The sequence below is a fragment of the Homo sapiens genome, chromosome 5 (genome assembly GCF_000001405.40).
Source record: "Homo sapiens chromosome 5, GRCh38.p14 Primary Assembly".
Taxonomy (NCBI): Eukaryota; Metazoa; Chordata; class Mammalia; order Primates; family Hominidae; genus Homo; species Homo sapiens.
Window position 1 is genome coordinate 81,853,112 of NC_000005.10, and position 22,565 is coordinate 81,875,676.

At 39.0% G+C, this 22,565-nt stretch overlaps 1 long non-coding RNA gene across 2 annotated transcripts in view, besides 1 other annotated feature; it reads left to right on the top strand.

The window, feature by feature from the left end:
• Positions 1-86: 86 nt before the first annotated feature.
• Positions 87-22,565, top strand: part of LOC124901018 (uncharacterized) — a 48,297-nt gene continuing 25,818 nt past the window's right edge. Inside the window, exons 1-3 of one of the 2 annotated variants that reach the window (XR_007058843.1) lie at positions 87-146; positions 750-919; positions 22,311-22,409. This is a non-coding gene — a long non-coding RNA (uncharacterized LOC124901018). The remainder of the gene's footprint in view (positions 147-749; positions 920-22,310; positions 22,410-22,565) is intronic. The other variant, XR_007058844.1, reaches the window with a different exon arrangement.
• Positions 3,972-4,021: an enhancer, noted in NCBI's record as "active region_22734". NCBI's record gives its function as "activates an Ori minimal core promoter by ATAC-STARR-seq in GM12878 lymphoblastoid cells {active_cell/tissue: GM12878}" and the evidence as "EXISTENCE:reporter gene assay evidence [ECO:0000049][PMID:35858748]".

Below are 22,565 nucleotides of genomic sequence, written 5' to 3' on the forward strand. Positions count from 1 at the left end.
ACTGCACTCAAACAGGGGAGAACAGAAAGGGGGTTGCGGTAATACCCCACGTGGTGTCCAGGCAGATGGGGCGGCTGAGAGAGTTCAGTATCTGTCCACCTGTGGGTGCAGCCACATTCTTCTCTACTCTTCAAAAATAAGTCGGAGTGAGTAAATATCTCTGAAGAGATTAATATTACTCATTATCCCACTATGATATTGTGGGAGTGGGGAGGCAGGTTTCATCCATTTAGGAAGCGAAGAGCTGAATTTTCTCTTCTTGTTGGTCATCTGTTAGTGAGTATGTTTTTAGGAAAATTAGGTCTACAGTCATGTATCTTCAATAGCAAGAAGCAAGATGCTTTCTCCTCTTTTTCAAACTGCCCTAAACTGGAAAATTGTATCAGTCTTAAGGGGCCAGCTTACCTTAAACAAAAAAACAAAATCTGAAGAAAATATAACCGGGGCGTTTCTTGAAACTGGAAGGTACTTTGGACAAACAGAAATCAAATGCATTAAAATACAGTTATAGAGCAGGCAGTCCTTAAATGCGCGCGCGCCCACACATACACACACACACACACACACACACACACACACACACACGGTGGGGGGATGGTGGCAGGGCAGAGAGAAATGTGTTTTTTGAAAAGTTTGGCTATTCACTACGGTAAAATTTTCCCCTTGGCCATGCCTCAAAAATTTCCCTTAATTATTTATTCAGACTCCTGTTCTTCGGGTGGTATTTCTATTTACTTATTTTCTTATAGTCCACAAAGTACTACTCAACATATTGGACCTCAGTGTGGACAGGTGAATGAAGGACATGTGGAGAATTCCATTTCCAACTCCATGTGCATGAATTATTTGCCCTGGTTGTTCATCTGTCATAGTGTAAAAAGCCTGATTTACAAAGACTGGAGGCCTTTCGCAGAACAAGGTATTGTATGCTTCCTATGGTTGGGCTTATTTACAAATAAAACTATTTTGCATTTCTGTCTGAAATTCCCTACTTGCACAAGGATAATTTTCAGAGTTTTCAGTTTCTAGTTCCGGAATGGGAGTGGGAAGCACGAGGAAACAATTTCTTTTTACAGTGATGTGAGCTCTATGCTCATCTGGATTTAGTTACTTCATAAGGTAAATATCACTAAATGTGCATTGGGGTCTTTAGAGATCTAAGGCGCTGGATGGGTGAAAATAGTCTACTGTGAAATGCTGAAGAATGTCAAACAACTGAATTCATTTGCAGAACTAATTGGGTCAACTATGGTGTTCTTTAAAGTGGAGATTGATTTGAAAAATTTGTAAAGTATTTTCAGTTTAATTTCAGTTACATTTAGGTTATATTAGTCAGCATGACTTTTAGAATTTTATCCTAGAAATTCAATTAAAACAGATCTTTCTGAAAAATATATACTTTCCAGTGAATAGTGTCCACTAATGAAAACATAGGTTTTGAATTTCATGCTAATTACATTTTTAAATAATGAAGTTCTTGTCATTATTTTTATTTAAAGGCAAAATATCTGCATAGATAATAGCCAAAGCTAACCAAACTGCTTTAAAAATTAATGAATATTAATGAAGTTCAGGAATAGCACAATACTGCCCCTGCCTGCCTCAGGGAAACAAATGTATTGACTTCATTCTCCTAAAATAACAACCCTTAGTTATTGATGGTTAAAATAATTTTATTGCTAAAAAGATGGTAGATAATGCATTTTTTGCAATTCTTAAAGACTTGGCCCTGTTGAATACACTAAGATCTTTTATCATTTTACATATCTGAATGCTATTTCTTTTCATTAATTTGCTGTCTTAACATATATCTTTCTCATTTTTCTAAGTTCTCCTCCCCCCTCGTTTTAGTAGTTCACATGAGCAACTCAGAGTTTTCAGGCCTTCTTCTATATTTGGTATATAGATAATAGCATCATTAGTCAGCGCTTTCATTCATCTAAATTTGTCTAAGCATATTGGAAGCTGCCCATGAAATTTTCCAATGAAAGTGACAAATGGACGTCAATCAAGTGGCCCCACCCATTTCAACCTTGTTTTGTATGATGTGTGAATGTTTGTGTATATTTCTTCCATAAAGATAGGCTAGGCTATTTTTTGATCTGGACATCTGCCTGCTAAGGCAAGTTTCCCAGGCAGATCACTGGTTGGCATTAGACTAAATTTGCAAAATTTAACACCAAAAAATGACAAAAGAAAAGAAATAGTATATGAAATTAAATAATGGCAGAATTCATTCCCTTAAGATAAATAATTTTTGATGCTCTAAATTTCAAGATTCTACAGTTTTACTTTAAATGAATTTGTAATGAGAAAGGTAAAATCATTTCAAGTAAGCCAGCAAATTTGGGTCAAAATGAAAGCAGTTCTGTGAGAGAGAGATACCTGCTTCCTATAGGGCTGTTTGGGATTTTCTGTCTGCTAAAATATATATGTATTTTAATACCTATGCATACTATATTCTCTCTCTCTGTCTCGCTGTGTTTGTGTGTGTGTGTGTGTATTTGTATTATGCTACATTCATGTCCTATTTCTATTTTCCTTCTTTGTTTTTAATAACCAGTCCAATCTCTAATGCTATTTTTTGGGTGAATGTGCTTATTAGGACTTGCTGCCAGTTTTAATCTGAGATTACTTTGACTGCACTTGAAATCTGTTGCTGTTTTATAACCTGTAACATGTTTTTACATGTTTGGGAGTGCTACTGCTGCTGCTGTAAAAAATTCTGTGTTGAAATTATAATGAGTTTATGTATTTAGCCAAAAAGTACCGTATGCTGAAATGAGACAGGAAAGATTCTAAAATCCTAAATGGGTTAGTAAACCCTTGATAATAATTGTAGTTTTATAGATAAAAATATCTTTAACGTTTTCACACAACATAGAATAGGTTTTTTTCCTCAAGTTGTTATAGAATCTCTTTGTCCATAAGGAATATTAAAGAAAAGTTTAGCATTTGAAGTTATTCTATTTGGGAATGCTTTGGAGTGAAGCTAATCTTTACACCCAGGACCACAGATTGCAATTTCACTTACCATTATCCATGGCAGGATGTTTAATTTTACTCCTGCGACCCAAAGAATTTTTAGTGAATTTTTAAAAGTGGAATGTGGAAAGTATCTCCAGCTCATTGCAAATGTGGGAATTAGATAAATAATGCTCTAAATGACCATTTATTCTATGACTTGTTATTATAATGAGGAGACATGAAAAAAAGTTAACTAAACTGTGGGTTTAAAAGTTTAGAATATCTTTTGACTGTGGCTGTAATCAGAGTCATCACGGCAATTACATTTTAGCATGTCATGATTTCTTTGGTCCACAATTGTTTTTCTTTCCAAATGTGCTGTATATAAAGGTAAAATTGAGATTTTTTCTAATGGCTTATTCTGCAAGCTAAACTTGTTTTCTAAAAACCTAATCAGACATTTCTTTCTGTTTATATGGAAATAAAGAATCTTGAATTAGGAAAAGAACCTGGTTCTCTTGCTTATGATTTTGGAAACATAGCAAAAATTTTTAATATATAGATTTATGTTATAGGGATAACTGCCTTTTTATGGTGGGCGGTGGGGGGTGCGGGAAGAAGCCTCGGTTTTGTTAATAAGCAATACCAACCTGGCTTGGAACTACTACTAAGAATTAGATATGAAAAGGATCAAGCTGCTCTAACTTAAATTTCCAGATATGTAACATGTGCGATGGCCACTTACCTAGTGGAAAAATAATATGTTTACTTTCCTACAATTTTCTGAATGCATCCTACTTTGGAGATTTACATATGATGGAAATCTCTGTGTTTAGGAGCCTGGTGTGGGAAATCTGACCTGCCAGGATTCTCCAGCCTTGCCATCCTTCCTCCTAGCTGGTGGTTCCTTCTTTATGCCACACGCCTGATTCTTCTCCTCTAGTCTGTATCCTGTAGTGTGCCCCCATCAGGCCTCCTCTGGCAGAGCACAGATTAACAGGTTCAGCCTCACTTAAAAGCTCTTTAAAGATAAAATTAGCCAGGTTTATTTCCGCCCCCACCCCCAAAAAACTATTTTTAGTCAAAGGATCTTAAGGATGAAGAAGTTCTAGAAGAGGCCTGTAAGCAGAGGCTGCTTTCAGGTTGTGGTTCCTGGAGAACCCACAGCCCAGGGCCCAGAAGCCCTTTAAAGTATTTTATGACCACTGGAGGGCTCAGAAGGAATCCCTAAATGCCTTTAAAAGTCCCAGAACCCTCCCCATTTAGCCCATGCTTGTAACCATACTGCGCCATTCCCATAACAAGGGCATGAAGAAGCTTTTGGGTAGGCTTGGAAAAATGACAGGGATGGATGTGTCCCATCTCACTGTTCCAAGGAGAAGATTGGAGGACAGGCAGCTGAAGGGACAGATACCCTGTCCAGACACTTGACAACTCCTGGGCAGTGAGCCAAGCAGTGGGCCAAGCACTGGGCACAGCTCCAGAGGCCGGGCCTATGCCCAGGGCACTCAGTGATTTAAAGCTGGCAAAAGAGAACGCTCCTGTCGGCAGGAAACTGAATTGAACAGATTGGGAAAAAGCAAAAACAGGCTGCCCAGGACGCTGTCTCCCTGGACTCAGTTTTCAGTTGTCAGCGGCAACCTGGGGTAGAGCAGATTCTGCATTTCCTCCTGCCTAGGAGGCTGGTGGAGGTGGGACCGAGTCCAGGGAGTATGCAGCACGCGAGGACCCAGCACAGGGAGGCACAGAGGAGACGCCTGGCACATACCCCACCGGGGAGAAACCTTGGCGTGGCAAAGTCATCAATTCAGTATTTTCCAGGCTAGCTTTGCCTGGGCTCTGGAGTGCCCTCTCAAAGTGAGTGCTGGGATAAGAACAGGGTTTTTCCTGTGAGTCTTGATGCTTCATAATTTCTGTAAAATGTTAGCACTTCCTTGCCCAGGGATTTATCTCAAAAAGTATCTTAAGAGAGTAAGAGAAAGAACAAGATTTTCTCAGCCTTTTATTTCATTTCTACTTTTTAGTGCTTACCCTGATTTTATAAGAAAAAGAAAAATTGAAGGCTAGGAGAAATCCCCCCTCCTGTTGCTATAGCATACTCATGCTTTTGATGTGCTGAACCACTGCAGCTATTTCTCAAGGGTTAAACGTTGGAAAGTCAGTCCTACTTCCCTACTCCTAGAGGAAGGCAAAATAGTTAGTTTCAGAGAATTCTGGACCTGGGGGAACCTAGGCATTGGGTTAGAGCCAAGAGAACATGAAAGAGAATGAAGCTTTGGATTTGCAGAAATCCAAATGGGCTTCAGGTTAATAGTGGGGGATTTGAGCTGATGGCTCACATAATTAACAGGGGGAAAAAACCTCCAGATTTTTTTTCCCTTTCTCTTTAAGTAAGAAATGACAATGAAACTCAGTAGTCATCTCAGACCTCCTGAACCAGCATCTTGGGTGGGGTGGGAGTGTGCTCAAGAATCTGCAGTTTCAACGGTTTCCTAAGTGATTTTTATATATGCTGAATTTTGAGAGCTACAGCCACACAGCTTAAGAATAATGTCATCCTTCTATGGTCCCAAATCATGAAGGGAAATAAAGACTTCATCTGAAGTCATTTCTGTATTATTTTTGGAAGCTGTAATCATTTTATAGGACATTTACCTTTCTAGTTGCCTTCATGTAGGGCAGATTTTATATTGGTAATGCTTGGCAGCAAAGGGTTACTGAGTAATTTAGTCTGGCTCTTAATAATTATAACAGCAAAAAAAAAATTGTGCTCCTCAATTTTCTGAGTGCTCACATAGAGTATCCCCATTGTACAGATGCGGACATTTGGGCATAGAGAAGTCAGGCAACTTTTCCGAAGTCAAGGTGAATGGTACAGCCAGGTTTCCAACTAAAGCATGTGGGGGTTAGAGATTGTTACATAGGTAAAGCTCCTGACACATAATAGTCGCTCAGTGAATAGTTGGTCTTACTATTACTAGGCAATGGAGTACAGCAAATGGTGGCTCATCCACACAGAAATAACCAGGAATTGACTGGACTTTCCAATCAGCAGCATGGTTGCTTTTTTTTTTTTTTTTTTTGAGACAGAGTCTTGCTCTGTTGCCCAGGCTGGAGTGCAGTGGTGTAATCTCAGCTCACTGCAACCTCCACCTCCTGGGTTCAAGTGATTCTCCTGTCTTAGTGTCTCGAGTAGCTGGGACTACAGGCAGGTGCCACCACGCCCGGCTAATTTTTGTATTTTTAGTAGGGATGGAGTTTCGCCATGTTGGCCAGGCTGGTCTCAAACTCCTGACCTCAAGTGATCCACCCGCCTTGGCCTCCCAAAGTGCTGGGATTACAGGCGTGAGCCACCACGTCTGGCCTCCATGGTTGCATTTTGTTGGACTTGCCCACCTAATTCATCCTTACTTTGTATTCAGATGTCATTTTGTGGTCTCTATACAGTGCTCTGATTTGGGACCACAATGATTAGGTGCTGAGTAAACCACAAGGCTAGAAACCTATTACTGGGTTTATCTAGTGCCTATCTGGATGAAATTTTAAAATTGTGTCTAAATACCCAAGACAACTGGCTGAATTTTTCTTGACTAACGTACACAACATCTAAGGAAAATTTCTTTAAAAGGGTAAGTAGCGATGATGCTGCATGGCATCTCCAGAGCTTTGAAGTCAGTTTTAAGAAATTGATTTGGTTACATCATTGCTTTATGAAGGCCGTAAAGTCTGTCAGCGCCTCCTGGTTCATCTCTCTAGACAGACATTCCAACATGCCTCTCACATGTTGTTCCCTGTGCTCGGAATAGACCTTCTTTTCTCTCTTCCTGGAATGCTCCAATTCATTCTTCAAGGCCACATCTCAAATGTTACGTTCTGTGTGAGGTCCCCTCATCCCAATTCCCCAGAGAAAATTACTCTCCTCTGTGCTCCCACAAAACACAGTCACACTGGGTTACAGCACTGTTACAAAGCACTGAATTGAAATGATCTGTCTTTTGAGTTCTTTCTGGCCAAGAACTTTGATTTACTCATCTTCCTGTGTGTCACGAACTAGCACAGTCTATGGCACAATTTTCAGTGCTATATAAATGCTAGTTAAATGAATGAAAAGTTTTAAGTCGTGTAGGTTTTTAATTTATTAATATTAGCCCACTTATGCCTAGTGTTCCATTATTGGAACACTAAGCATGTGGGAGTTATTTATATCCTGCTGCTCAAGGTCATTGCCAAGGTCTGATTGGAAAAATTCAAAAAATTGCAGCCTCAGGCATAAATGGGTTAATAGGAGTTTGATTATACAAAGTCATCTCACTGGTTTTCAGTGGGCTGACCTAGAAGTTCTTGGTCATTCACTGTGATAGAAGAAATGAACTCAAAGAAACGAGCCTGCCTTCATGCACTTACATACTTTGTGCTGTCATCTGTAGTGGTGGAAGTCATACTTAACAATACGATCTGGGTTAGGTTAAAGACAACAAACATCAGAAGGAACAATGCTGCAACTGTGTTGCTAGGGATAGAAACCCAGTGTAGATGGCCTTGGTTTAGCATCCTAAGTTTGGAGTTAAAGATGGACTGGGAACATTTTAAAACCAATAATGTCTGAAAACTGAAAAATTTTCAGTTCTTCCTTGTTCCAAACTATGCTATATTTTCCCCTCCATTATTCTCTACCTTTATGTAAAAATTCTGCTCTTCATGGCAGTCTTGAGCTAGTGGTATATAGGGAATTAAGAGGAAAGTAAAGTGAAGTAAGGTCTTTCCATCATTTCTCTTTGGCTAAGACCAACACCTAGTCAAGAAAGCTGGTATCTTATAGTTCCAGTGGTGACCAGTGGTAGAATGCCTGAAGATTCTGGGCCCCGTATGCTGTGGCCACCACCTTTCTTTCTGGCATTATCTAACAAAACAGGGTTTCTGTATCTTTCTCTTCCAACCACACATGTCTGATGCTTGATGTGCTTCTTCTTAGAGACAATTTGCATATACTGTTCCCTTTGTCTAGGGAGCTCTTCCATTCCCTTTATGTCAAATTAATTTTTTCTTATCCTCAGCTTAATCATCATTTATACAGGGAAACCTCCCCTACCCTCCCTGACTAGGTAATCTCCTTTCGGTAGCCTCTCCTTAATGGCAAGCATCACAGTTACAGCTTAGCATTTATTTGTAAGATTATCTCATAAATGTCTGCTTCCCCTATAGTTTTTGTTCTGTTTTGGATATGGAGTCTCACTCTATCGCCAGGCTGGAGTGCAGTGGTGCAATCTCGGCTCACTGCAACCTCCGCCTCCTGGGTTCAAGCGATTCCCCTGCCTCAGCCTCCCGAGTAGCTGGGACTACAGGCATGCACCACCACGACTGGCTAATTTTTTGTATTTTAGTAGAGACGGGTTTCACCATCTTGGCCAGGATGATCTCGATCTCCTGACCTTGTGATCTACCTGCCTTGGCCTCCCAAAGTGCTGGGATTACAGGTGTGAGCCACTGCGTCCCAGCCACCCCTATAGTTTTAATGAGGACAAAGACCTCATCCACTTCTGCACCGTTATATCCTGCTTCATAGCAAAGTGCCTGATGCAAAGTGGGCCTCAAATAATATTAGTTGAGTGAAGTCAGACAAAGAAGCAGGCTTTGGTGTGAACTGAACCAGAAGCAGATACGAGAAAAAAAAAAGGTTTCCCCAGATACACTAGAGGTGGGAGACTCGTGAAACGGAAAGCAGCAAAGGCTTGGGTTGCATATCCATTCATTAAGTACCTCTGATGTGCCAGGCTCTGAGCTAAGTCATAAGGATACATAATGAATGAGACACTGAGCCTTGCCCTCATACTGTCTTTAAAGTGTCTCTCAACCATGTACAGGCTAATGATAATGATGTTGATGTAATAATAATGTAAGAGTGACAATGTGTATTGTATATTGAGCTTCTACTATATACTATATACAGCATAATGTAGGTGCCTTATATTTATCAATTCATTTGATTTTCACACAACAACCTGAGGTAGGCATTTTACAATCACTAGATTATAGTGGAAGAAATAGAAGCCTCAGAGGATTTCTTCCTCAATATTACTCATCTAGAGCTGAAACTTAATGAGAGACTCTGGTCTGGATGACTTAGAAGCTGTATTTTTGAATATTAGAGAGGGGAATAAAAGTTGGGCAGAAGTGAATCTGAAATCCCCCTAAATTCTCAAACTCTAATGTCTTATCCTCTGACAACAGCCTCCTGTCCTTCTAGGTCTGACTTTCTCTCACCCCAACCTCAATCAACCCAGCAGAGATCCTTAGAGCCTCAATGTTTTCCTTCTCCTGTCCACTGGCCTCCTTCCAGCCCCACTTCTGTCCTTACTTTCACCAAGTCTTGATCCCATCACAGCCCTCTACTTCCACTGCATCCATCAGTGAAACCTCAATGCTTTGATCAACTTTCTTTGCTCCTGCACAATTTGATCTTCTCATCACCCTCATGGAGTTGTTAGGAGGATTCAGTGAGTCAGTACATGCACTCTCTAAGAACAAGGCCTAGCATTATTACATGGTATACATGGCAGTATTGTTATTTACCCATGAGTAGCTAATCACAGTTGGATGGAATCTTGGCTGTGCTCTTAGTAGACCTCAGCTGGATCCTAAATGGTTCTGCCTGTCGATATTGTTACTTGGCAAAGTTAAGCTCCCAGATATTTTTGAGGATGATTCCAAATCTCTACTGTTCACATAGTTTCTACTCAGCTCCCAATACCCTTGGTGTCAGCAAATGATCTTGGCGTCAGACATCTCTTGTGGCTTGTTCTGCATCCATTCTCCTTTTATTCTGTTAATAAAACCGCTCATGCACCATTCTCATGCCTGTGGTTTGGGTGAACGATCATATCCTCTTGTCCATAGTGACTGGTTCAGAGATAGGCATTTGACCCAATGTGAGCCAATGAAAATTTTTCCTAGGACCTTGAAAGTATGACTGCAAAAGAGACACTCTTGGCCGGGCGCGGTGGCTCATGCCTGTAATCCCAGCACTTTGGGAGGCCTAGGCAGGCGGATCACCTGAGGTCAGGAGTTCGAGAGCAGCCTGGCTAATATGACGAAACCCTGTCTCTACTAAAAATACAAAAATTAGCTGGGTGTGGTGGCGGGTGCCTGTAATCCCAGCTACTCAGGAGGCTGAGGAAGGAGAATCTCTTGAATCTGGGAGGCGGAGGTTGCAGTGAGCAGAGATCATGTCACTGCACTCCAGCCTGGGCAACAAGAGTGAAACTCCATCTCAAAAAAATAAAAATAAATAAAAAGAGAGAGAGAGACAGTCTTTCCTGTTGAGATCATTGCTGCTAAGTAGTATAAAAGAATGGAGATGTAGTCATGGGGATAGAGCAGGCCTGGAAATAAAATAAAATAAAAGCAGAAGAAAACAGCCGAGAAAACGACAGATTCTTTTATGCCATCACTTGAATCTCTGGCTCTAGCTACACCTCATGACAATACACCCCTTTTCAGTTTTGTGAACTAATACACTTCCTTTTTTGACTAATATACTTGCCTCATAGTCACTGATAAAATGGGGGTATTGCCATTGCTATTCTTGATGCCTGCTTCATCAGTACGTTTCTCTTCCTGGCTCACAGAATGAGTGCTGCCCCCCTTATTCAAGGCTCACCCCTGTTCCTTTGTACACATTTCACATTCATTGGTGCCTTCCAGATTTTATCTCATAATTCATATCTCTCTTCTATCTTCAACTGTTCCCTTTCTACTGGTCCTTTACTTTTAGTCTAAAATGTGCTCATTTTCCTTTTTACCCAAACTACTCAGCATTAGCTTACATCATTCTCTTCACTTCCTTACCTTCTATTCTTCTCTGTGTTTACTGCTTTCACCTTCCCCCGCTTGTGGGTCACCAGTGATTTCATACTGGCAGATGTGATGGCATTTTTAGACTGGAGCTAATGGGACCTCTCTTTTACATTGGACAATGTCAGTCACTTTACTTCTTAGAGCTCTCTATCTTGTTCCTAGGTTCCAAGACACTGCTCTCTCCTAGCCCCCTGAAAACCTTCCTAGTCTCTCTCTCTGTCTCCCTTAAAGGTTTCCCTGCTGTCCACTGCTCTTCTCATGCTACATATTCTCTTTGGGCGATCTAACTACTCCACAGTTTTATTTTTTCCCTTATACTGATGACAGTCAGATCTATATGTATCCACTCCCATGCTCTACTTGGAATTTCAAATATTTTCTGTATGTTTACACCTTGATGTTCCAAAGGTATCTCAAATTCAACATAATAAAAACATGACTTATTATCTTAATAAAAACATAACTCCCAAGTCTGCTTTCTCTGCTATATTCTCTATCTCAGTTTACAGTATCACAATTTCAGCCATGCAAGCCAAGTTCCTAAGTGTCATTTTTGTCTTCTGATCTTCACTCTCAAAGCATTGTTGACCTTCCAAAATATTTAGTGAGTTGATTTCTCTTCTTGTAGCAGATGCTGATGGCCATCTACCCAACTAACATTCTCCTTGCCTTCTCGCTCTAATATCCGCATGACTAGTAAAGCTATGTGCTTGAGGGAAAGCTGGCATTAGTCTCAGTCCCAGCTCCAAAGAACGAGTCTTGATTTGTCTACTGTAAGTCAATTGTGACCATTCTTGTCAAATTTTTAGTTACTTAGTTATCTATAAAAAATATTTGACTCAGATATGAGGAAAAGAGTCATCAGATTTTAATTAACAAAGGCAAAAGAACAGGAATTATAAGGTTGGGAGGAAGAAGGAAAAAAATTCACATTCTGGGAACAGTAAATCTTACTTTATATTTTGGGTAAACTGATTAGCCAGCAGCTGCTTTTGTTCATTCTGCTGCCACATTTTGCAAAGTCTTTTACCCTCTCCACCTTCTGCTAACTCAGGTATTACATTCTTTAGGAAAACTTCCTAGCAAACTCCCAACCCCTGCTACACACCCCAGATGAATTAGAAACCCTTTCTTTGTTTAGGACACACACACACACACACACACACACACACACACACACACACACAAAGAGTTTGCATGCTAGATACTAGATTACTCTTTTTCTAGTTGGGGGCTTAGGGGCTAACGTTTAGGGAAGCCAAGAAATGTGCTACCACTAAATGCAGACCTAGTTGGGTATGGTGAGATTTTTTAAAAAGGGAAGAAAAGGCCATATTAGTTGCCTCTGATTAGTTCTGACTAGGAACTTTGGTATTCTGTCATTCTAGAAGTTAGATTATCTCATATACCTCATTTGTGAGATGTGTGATTACTAAAGTTGAACTCCTAAATAACTGGAAAGAAACTCTCCTAGGAAACATATACAACTGGATCTGTCATTTATTTAGCATTTTATTCAAATGTTATAAGTGCTTCATAATAGCCTTGTTAATTAGTATTTGCCCAAAGGCAACTAATAATTTACTGGACAAAGTGTAAAAGTTCCCATTTTATTTATTTCCTCTACGTATTTTGTATGGAGGACAACAACCCACAGACCTTCCATTTTTTTTTCCTTTTCCTTTTGCAAGTTTTCAAGTATAATGAACGCTCATCATACCTTTCACCTAGAGTCACCAATTATTAACATTTTGCCATATATGCTTTGTCTCTCTCTTCTTCCCTCTCCCTTTCCCCACATGAACACATACCCCCTGCTTGCTTTTTTTGGCTGAACAAGCTGAAAATAAGTTGCAGACATCATCACTTCACCCCTTCATCCTTAAGCATGTGTCTTCTAAGAATAAGGACTTTCTCCTACACAGCTGCAATATCATTGTCACACTCAAAAAATTTAGCATTAATACAATAAAATGATCTAATATACAGCCTATATTCAAATGTCCCCCACTGTCCCAATTCTGATCTTTTAGCTGGTTTTTCCCTCCTGGATGTTATCAAATATTGCATTTAGCTGTTATGCTTCTTTAGCCTCCTTTTGTCTAAAACAATCCCTCCCCTTTAAAGAAAAAAAATTTCATGACATTGACGTTTTTAAAGAATCCAGATCTGTCATTTTGTAGAATGTTCAACAATATATATCTGAGTGGTGCTTTATGGTTGGATTCAGGTTAGGCATTTTTGCCAATACTGCAAAAGTTGTATTATTTTCTTCTCGGTGCGTAGCATGAGAAGGTTGTTTCATTGTTGGTGATATTGAGTTTGAACATTTTTCTTTTTTGTACATTTACCAACTGAATTATTTATTATGGGAACCTCATAGAGATGAGACCAATATCTTCATTTACTGATCACTTAGTAAAGCAAAATGGAGAATAAGATAACTATATTTTTAAAAAACCTAAAATAAAATGGTCGGGTTTCAATTGTTGGGGTATTTTCATTAAAACATTTTTAGAATCTTACGAAACAGAATTATCTTCACAGTTGTCTCAAATCTGCAGTTCTCTTTGTTCACACAGATCTAGCCAGCTAATGGCATCTATTATCTCTAATTCACAGATCAGCACAAAAATCAAATGGCTTAAAGGCAACACAGTATAATGGTAAGAAGAGATTAATCCAGAGTCCAGAATCATCAAACTTTTCTCATGACCTTAAGCAAATCATGTGCTTTTCCTGGGCCTCAGTTATCTCTTCTGTGTAATGGAGAGACAGGGCTTCAGGATCTTAAAAATTTTTTATCATTTTAAAGGTTCATTCATATGTGTAGTTAACTGCTGTATATTCTGAATTGTATTGACTCCTAATTATAAGTGCTTATGCCTTGTGCAAGATCAAATTAATTATTTTTACCTGGAGAAAATAGTAGAATTTTGGAAATAACTAGGAGGTATAGAAATTATGCCACCAGCCTCCCACTTGATGTAGGAATCCATCTGATTGGTGGCCATTTAGTCTGTGCTTGAACACTTTAGGTGATACGTTGTATGTGCCTGAAGCAAAGTGTGCAAGTGTGGATTCTGAAGTTCTGCCTTAGACATATTAGGTCCTCCCTGATGCTCTGTGAAGTCCCTGGTCTCACCTTCTCTTGACCCCCCAAATCCCTTCCTTCATTCTTCTTCAACAATACACCTGCATATCTATCCCTGGAATTCACAGCTCAGTTCTTCTCTGCCTCTGTTATCTGGGCTCTTGGTCTCCCCTTTGACACCCCTTCTATCCTTCTTATTGTTCTTGAATAACACGAGGAGATAACATCCCTGGACAATTCCCTTACCTCCTGTCTAGTCCACCAGTTTCTTCTGACTGTATTTATCTCTTGCCCAGCATGGGCAATCACTTCAGCGTTGCCCTTACAATTTCCTCAACGCCCACAGCATTTCTAATTATACCAGGTATACTTGAACATTTATTTATACGCCAAATACTGCATAACATAGTTGCATAATATAGAACAGCTGTGCAGGGACACAAAAAAATCAACTTGTGAAAAATTCTGTAAGGTAAGTGTACACTTTTGAGAATGAAAATGTGTATTTTACTATATTGTAACCTGACCAAGTACATACCACTGACCAAATCATATACCTTACTCATACAGAATAATACTAGCAACTTTTCCAGGTGAAAATGAGATAGTTTGCCAATTTGCTAATGTGAGATCGAAGATACTACATACATAATCTTAAATGCCTTAAAATATCAAGGGCTGCAGACATATGAGGTAACAAATATTCCCTCTGATGTGTAGAGATGTGTTATGATTTAAGGTGAAGATGGAATATAATGATTATAGATCATGAAATGTGACCCTGAGGTATTGGAATTTTGCAAGAATAAATAAATATATCATATTTCAAATCAACATACGTTTAATGCTAATGTAAATCATGGGCATCTTTCTTCATGTTTTACTGTTTACATGTTTTACAAAGACTTTTTTCCAGCTGGGCGTGGTGGCTCATGCCTGTAATCCCAGCACTTTGGGAGGCCGAGGTGGGCAGATCACGAGATCAAGAGATTGAGACCATCCTGGCCTACATGGTGAAACCCTGTATCTACTAAAAATACAAAAATTAGCTGGGTGTGGTGGTGTGTGCCTGTAGTCCCAGCTACTTGGGAGGCTGAGGCAGGAGAATCGCTTGAACCCGGGAAGTGGAGGTTGCAGTGAGCCAAGATCGCACCACTGCACTCCAGCCTGGCGACAGAGCCAGACTCAAGTCTCAAAAAAAAAAAAAAAATTAATTAAAAAAAAAAAAGACTTCTTTGCAAGGTCTTAATGTGAGTGGTTATATCTGGAAATCAGAGTAAAATATTAGTTCTAAGAGGTGAATGATCTCTGTTAGAGATCATTCATTCCATAAGTGAGGAAATTGAGACCCGAAGGGGCAAAAATCACTTTTCCAAAGTGACACAGCTCTGGTGGAGCCATGTCAAGAGCCTGATTTCAAGGTCAAGGTACTTTTCCCAGTGATTTTCGAACTGTCTTTCTGGGAGCCTTAGAGGTCTCTGGAGGTGCCTTCAGGCCACTTTAGGGAAGATAGTTGATTGTTTCTCACTTTCTTCAACTAGAACCACACTACTTTTGAGTGTTTTATATATTGTGATTTCATTTAAAGATTTGAATTACAGAAAAGCATCCTAGTGTTAAAATATATACATTTAAAAAAATTGGTAACCATGCCTAACTCATCCAAATGTTGATTAGAAGTTTTTTCCCTGTAGTCATTACTCAATATTAGTATGAAGTTCTAAATTATTTGCACTTCTTATATTTTTGTTTAAATTGGTTCTTTAAGTAAATGCATCATAAGTGGTTTTCACAGATTAAGATGCAGCAAAGAAAATTGAATAAAACTCTCTCTTTGCTATCTTCATAATCAGCCAGCAGGCTACTTATTGATTTCACAATAAAAAGAAATAAAATATGGTAGAGGCCATGAGATGAAATAAAAACCAAGCAGGTTTAGGTTTCTATAAACTCACCCAGCACTCACTTGGTGGGAGCATGATGTATTGTGTATAAATGGCTAGAAGACTATCAGATTCATACTCCTGTGTAGCAGGAACATTGATTTCCACAGCTCTATTCCTTCTCAAGAATTTTTTCCCCCAGGAACACAAATGTTGATGGATATCAGGTTAATAACAGCATACATTTCCCTAAGTTTTCTTGCATGTTACTATAAATAGCAAGACTCCCCTTTCAAACATTATGATGATAGTAGCTATCCATGTCTTCCTTGGGTCATTTTAGTCCCCATGAGCTTTCTGATTTTCTAGTTAGCTGATGTTTGTGAAGTTAGACTATTTAGTGACTAAAATTTTTTATTGATGATGTGTTTTCCTTAAATTCTAAAAAGGATTTGATCACCAAATAAATTTGAATAGACTGCTAAAATAACATCCAAGCATGCACATTTTTCGAAGAGGTTGTTTTCTCCTTTGGGATAAACCTAGTTTGCACAATGCTAATTCACAAACATTTTGGATTTCAGTTACGGACCTCTTTCCTGTGTAAGAGAAGTTAAGTTTAATGAAAATGCAAGCATATCTCAAAAATACCAGAAACATGGATTTCTCTTAAAAAAAAAAAAAACCATACCTTTTTCAAACTTTCACAGAAAGTTAAGATTATCTGAGCTATAATTTCACTCTTTTGGCACTTTAATAGGCATATAGCTTTCCTTAATCCAGTTGTTTCCCTTCACTACCTGTGGTGATGTGGTTGCACTATTACATGCCAAAGATGTGCACTAAACTGGCAATAATGTCTCTAAACTAATCCAGCAAGAGGAGAAAAGTGATTAGAAAGGAGACAGTTCCCAATGGAAGATGGATAAGCTATTTCTAGAAACTACTATTACTACTGAAAAAACTAATTGCTTTCGTCTCGTTTGGGAATATTTCCTCCAGTTCAAGAAGGAGAAAGTGTGAAGAAACCTCACCTTGCTTCCGCTAATAATGCTTCTTCCTTGAAATTGCAGAGAGCCTTGGTCTCCAAAGCAACTTTTTGAGACAATAGACTATCTGTGCTTAAGAGAAGAAAGATTAGAGTGTTTCTGTGTTTTTGAGTGATTAGATCAGTAACTCATTTGTTCATTTAATAAGTATTTATACTGTGCCTGCTATGTGGCAGGCACTGTGCTATACAAAAATAGCTAAGATAAAGTCTCTTTACTGGATGAGTTTACATATTAATTCTACTATGACTCCAGTAATAATAGATAATAAGAAAAATGACTATGGAAGTCCCAGGAGAAGGAGCACCTTTATATATCACTCTGGTGTCTTTTAGGGCTTTGCAAAATTTGTTTTCAGCCAGGTCTACCATAACTTACATTGTTTTTGCTTTTTAGGCTAATAATTTATTATGGATATGGCAAATACATTATATATTTTAAGTTCTCTAAAGTTCAATGTAATATACTAAAAATGCATCATGAGATCTGGGGATTTTGGGCCTGAAGATGGAAAACAAGAGCCTCACAGTTCTCTAAGTTACTGTTCTTCTTGGCATGGTATTATGGAAAGAACATAGGATTTGATCTAAATCCAAGTTCTTCCAGTCATTAATTGAATTAGTAAGAGCAATCACTTAGTTTTCCCCAGTGTTGGTGTCCTTATCTGTAAAGCAGAGCTAAAAATAATATCTGCCTTGTGAGGTTGTGAGAAGCAATCGAACTAATATGTGTGAAAGCACTCTGCAGAATTTAAGGTTCAATAAAAAATTGCTTTCTTAGAGCAAACATACAACGATGTCCATTCATCAACATGGCAACAATATCGTTGTATTCATAGTATCAACCTTTCCAATAGAGCACTTGTCAGAATCCCTAATTGCAAATGACTGCAGTGCTGTGAGTATTCTTGGTAATGGCCACAGGGCTAGTTAACACTTTTAAGTAATAATTATTAGATTTCACAGAAAGAAATTTCTATTTCTTTTCATGAGGAGGTTACCAACTATTTAAAATGTACATAAAACTGGATTAATATACTACAAATGCAAGCTGAAGGAGAATCATCTCCAGGATGACGTGACACGGTAATAAAAACTTTTGTCCTGAAAGGAAAGGAATTGTACTGGTTGAGATGTTTTGGGTTGCAAATATCCAAAGACGCAATCAACATTGGTTTAATTCTAAAATATATTTATTTTTTATTTAGCAGGAGTCTAGGGCTTGTTAAGTAGCTTAACAATATCAGGGCTCTAGGTCGGCATCTTTGTCATTATCTTCATCTTCTGTCATGCTTGTCACCTCATGGGTAACAATACAATATACGCATTTCAGCTCCAGGCCCTGACATCAATGTCTCAGACAGAAGAGGAATGAAAGGGGCACCCTACAAAAAAACCTCCTTAAATATGTACCTATTCCTTTTGTCAGAAACCAAAATATTACCCAGAAAGACCCTTGAGAGTTGCTGTAAACTGGTTGGTCAAAACTGAGTCATGTGGCCACCACTAACTGCATGGGAAGCTGGGAAAACAAATATCCAGCAAGAGGGATTATGGCTATACCGTTAGGGTCTTAAACATCATGATTTATTTCCAGGGCCTAGGCACATTGTAACCAAACAAAATCAAGGTTTTAATAATTAGGATAAAGAAGGGTGAAGGAAAACTATTGGATAACTGCCTAATGGTGTCCTTCTGAGATATTTTGTATGTGTGTAAATATAGATAATAAGCCAGACCGTATAAAAAAGAAATATTGTCCTTGCTCTTTAGAAGAGAGATTCTAAAAGCTATAGCCTTAATTGTAAGGTTCTCATAAAGAAAGCCTAGTAGGGCAGCAAATACAGTATTATATATGATAGCTAAATGTACCTGAGTAAAAGCCAGTTGCCTCATATCTCCTCTGAAGCACAATTACCCTATGACACGGTGGTTGCTTTCTTTCTGGAGAAGTACTGATCCTTTGAAATGGTTATTTTCATGTTTTGGCCAACAAGTTCTTATCCATCCAAGTATGAGTTCTGTGATTAATTACAGAGTATATAGCTCTTGTCAACCCATCAGCCTTTTCTCTGAAGCCACTTAAAAATTTGGTTTTTAACCTAGACTGAGCTTTTATAATACAAGCAGAAACAGTTAAGAACCAACTCATACCTGCTAACTCCAGTGAGGGCTGTTGTAATTTGTCCCCATTCATGTTATATTTCATTGATAGCTGACATTATACTGCCCTCTCTTCCATTAAAATTAGATGTAAGTTGTGATAAACTGCATTTTTATAAATGCCATCTCTTCAGCCCCTGCCGGATCTAGCTAGAGACACAGCATCTCATGATTCCACCGAATAGCTTCTGAGATGGAATGTTAGTTTCAGACAGAACACTAGCTGAGGAACAGTCTAGGAAGATGACGATGTGTGTTAGTTCAGACTTTGGATTCCTAATAAATGTTAGAGAGTCATCAGTCCTAAGGATGACCTCTCTCAGCGGTTAAAATAAAAAACTTTGCATTTTACTCCCTCACAATTTTAATAAATTACAGTAATATTTTTGTTACACAAAATGGATGAAATGAGCCCATTGACAAAACAAACAAGACATATATTCAAAAGAATAAGTTCATACAATTACAACTTTTCCCCTGTCCTCCTCCTATTTAGCTTATGCCATCTCTCAGTCTGGTTTCAGATATTAGTAAGTAACGAGATAATACACAGGAAACGAATAGCCCCTCCTCTGTCCTGTAAATCATAAAAGTCATTTACAGGAGCTGAGTGAATGGAGAGAGAGGTCTATGGCAAAAGAATTGAGCCTTAATGGCCCCTCAAGAGCTATAACTGTCTAGTCTCTCTACTAGTCTCTCTCTCTCCCCCCAATCTCTTCTTTCTCAGTATCTTCCCACCCTCCTTCTCTTTCCCTCTCTCTATCTTTCTCTTTAGCTCCTTGTCTCAGCTTACAAATCTCTCAAGCCGGGGAGCCTGCTGCCATACTAAGAAGTGGTTGGTCAGTGTGTTTTAAACATTGAATGAAAATTCTCCAAAGTATTTAGTCACTGCTTAGGGTAAACTTTACTTTTTATGCAATGGGGCACTTGGTGACTGATCCTTCTTGGTGGCCCCTGTGTTTTTTTTGTTTTTTGGGTTTTTCTTTTTTTGTTGTTGTTTGTTTTTTTGAGACAGAGTCTCACTCTGTCACCCAGGCTGGAGTTCAGTGGCGTGATCTCAGCTCACTGCAGACTTGACCTTCTGGTCTCAAGCGATCCTCCCACATCAATCTCTTCAGTTGCTGGGACCGCAGGTGCCACCACCACGCCCAGCTAACTTTTTGTATTTTTTTGTAGAGACAGGGTGTCACTATGTTGTCCAGGCTGGTCTTGAACTCCTGGGCTCAAGTGATCCGCCCACCTTGGCCTTCCACGCTGTTGGGATTACAGGTACGAGCCACCATGCCTGTCTTCTGTTTTTCACCTGTGCAGCGTTCTGGAAGATGTTAATTGTGTGGTTCAACTCCATATTACCCATGAAAGAGGTCAGAGTCATGGAAAAACATGATAAGTAAGTTAAAAGGTCATCAAAACATTACTTTAAAGTGCATTTTCTACTTATATTTAAATAAGACCACTGGGGTAAACTGGGATTTTTCAAAACTTCAAGATGGGTAATGGATCGCTCTATCAGCTTCTAAAGCAAGAGACACCAGGAGTTATTCTTCTTGATTAACTTTACTACTTTCTACTACCTGCTTTTCTTCTTTCAACTTTAGGCTAGGAATGAACTCTATCACTTTTGAAAGACACCAGCAGATCATCGCCATCTAAACCTTGTTTAGACATTAGAATCACCTGGGGAACCTCAAAAAAAATTGATGTTTGAGTCTCTCACAGAAATTATGATGTTATTGGTCTGAAGTAAGCTCTGGGCATCCAGATTTTAAAAAACATCCCAGGTGATTATAATATGCAACAAAAATTGAGAACCATTGATCTAGTCTTAACATTTTACAGTCTCTATTAGCCTGAAGCCATGAAATATGTAACTTATTGGTGCCATTTATTCCAGGGACAGAGAACTAATTTTTGTCTTTAACACCTCCTTTTAGAGCTTCTGCTGTCCCAGAACAAACAAGGCCTATAGTAACCAACCATGTCAGTCAGGGTTCTCCACAGAAATAGAACCAATAGGAGATATGTTATATATTTAATATTTGTATAATACTTATATATTTATATATATGTAATTTATTTATTATAAGAAATGGGTTCATTGATTATGGAGGCTAAGAAGACCCAAGATTGCCGGGCACAGTGGCTCACACCTGTAATCTCAGCACTTTGGGAGGCCGAGGTGGATGGATCACGAGGTCAGGAGATTGAGACCATCCTGGTCAACATGGTGAAACCCTGTCTCTACTAAAAATACAAAAATTAGCCTGGCATGGTGGCACGTGCCTGTAATCCTGTAATCCCAACTACTCGGGAGGCTGAGGCAGGAGAATCACTTGAACCAGGGAGTTGGAGGTTGCAGTGAGCCAAGATGGCACCACTGCACTCCAGCCTCGTGACAGAGCGAGATTCTGTCTCAAAAGAAAAAAAAAGAAGTCCCAAGATCTGCAGTCGACAAGCTAGAGACTCATAAGAGCTGATGGTGTGCTTCCAGTTCAAGTATGAATGCCTGAGAACCAGGAAAGCTGAAGGCATAAGTCTTAGTCTGAAGGCCTTCAGGCTTGAGAGCTAAGAAAAGCCCATTTTTCAGTTCAAGTCCCAAAGCAGGAAAGGATTAATGCCCCACCTCAGCAGGCAGGCAGGTGGAGTTCCCTCTTATTCACAGGAGGGTGAGCCTTTTTGTTTGGTTCAGGCCTTCGACTGATTGAATGAGAGCTACTCATATTAGGAAAAACAATCTGCTTTACTGAGTTTACGGAGTCGAATATCAACCTCATCCAAAAATACCCTCACAGACACACCTAGAATAATATTTGACCAAATATCTGGGCACCTGATGGCTCAGTCAAGTTGACATATAAAATTAACCATCACACCAACATAGTACTTAAATAAAGAGGGTGGATGGCAACTTTAATGGGAAATTAAAAGCAAGTTAAGCCAGAGATAACTCTTATGTGTTTATAATCTGCAGCAGATAACAGAGATAATTGTCAAATTTTCAGCTTGTTCTAGTTCCAATTGTGCACATTCTGTTGAAGAATTCTACTGAGGCACAGGAAGACAGCATATTCCTCTTCCCAATCAGTTAACTAATTGTCTGCTATTGGTGCCTTCAGCTGCCCCTTAGAAGAAGCTGGAAGGAAAGAATGGAGAAAATAGAAGAGCTTAGATTGTAATTATAAGTCTTATGAAATTTCCATCCAAGGGCTTGAATTATCAGTGTGTAAAAGTACTCAATAAATATTTTGGAATGAATGAATAAATAAAATTTAAAAATGGGACTCAACTGTGACTTTTTCAGATAACTTCCAATTTAAGGAGATATAGGACAAGGCAAGAAGGGTGGAAGAAGGCATAAGAGATCCTCACGTGGCATTATCAGGATAAAATTTGTTAATGTGTAAGTGTTCTCTTCTTCCTCACTGTAAGGTGAATACTTTGCTACCTTGGTTTCTGGATCTTTTGAGCTGCAGAATTGGGAGAGTGCATATGAAGAAAGAAGACTCAGTAGATAGGAAGGAATAAAGGAGAAGGCTATAGCCAAGGAAGTTAGGTT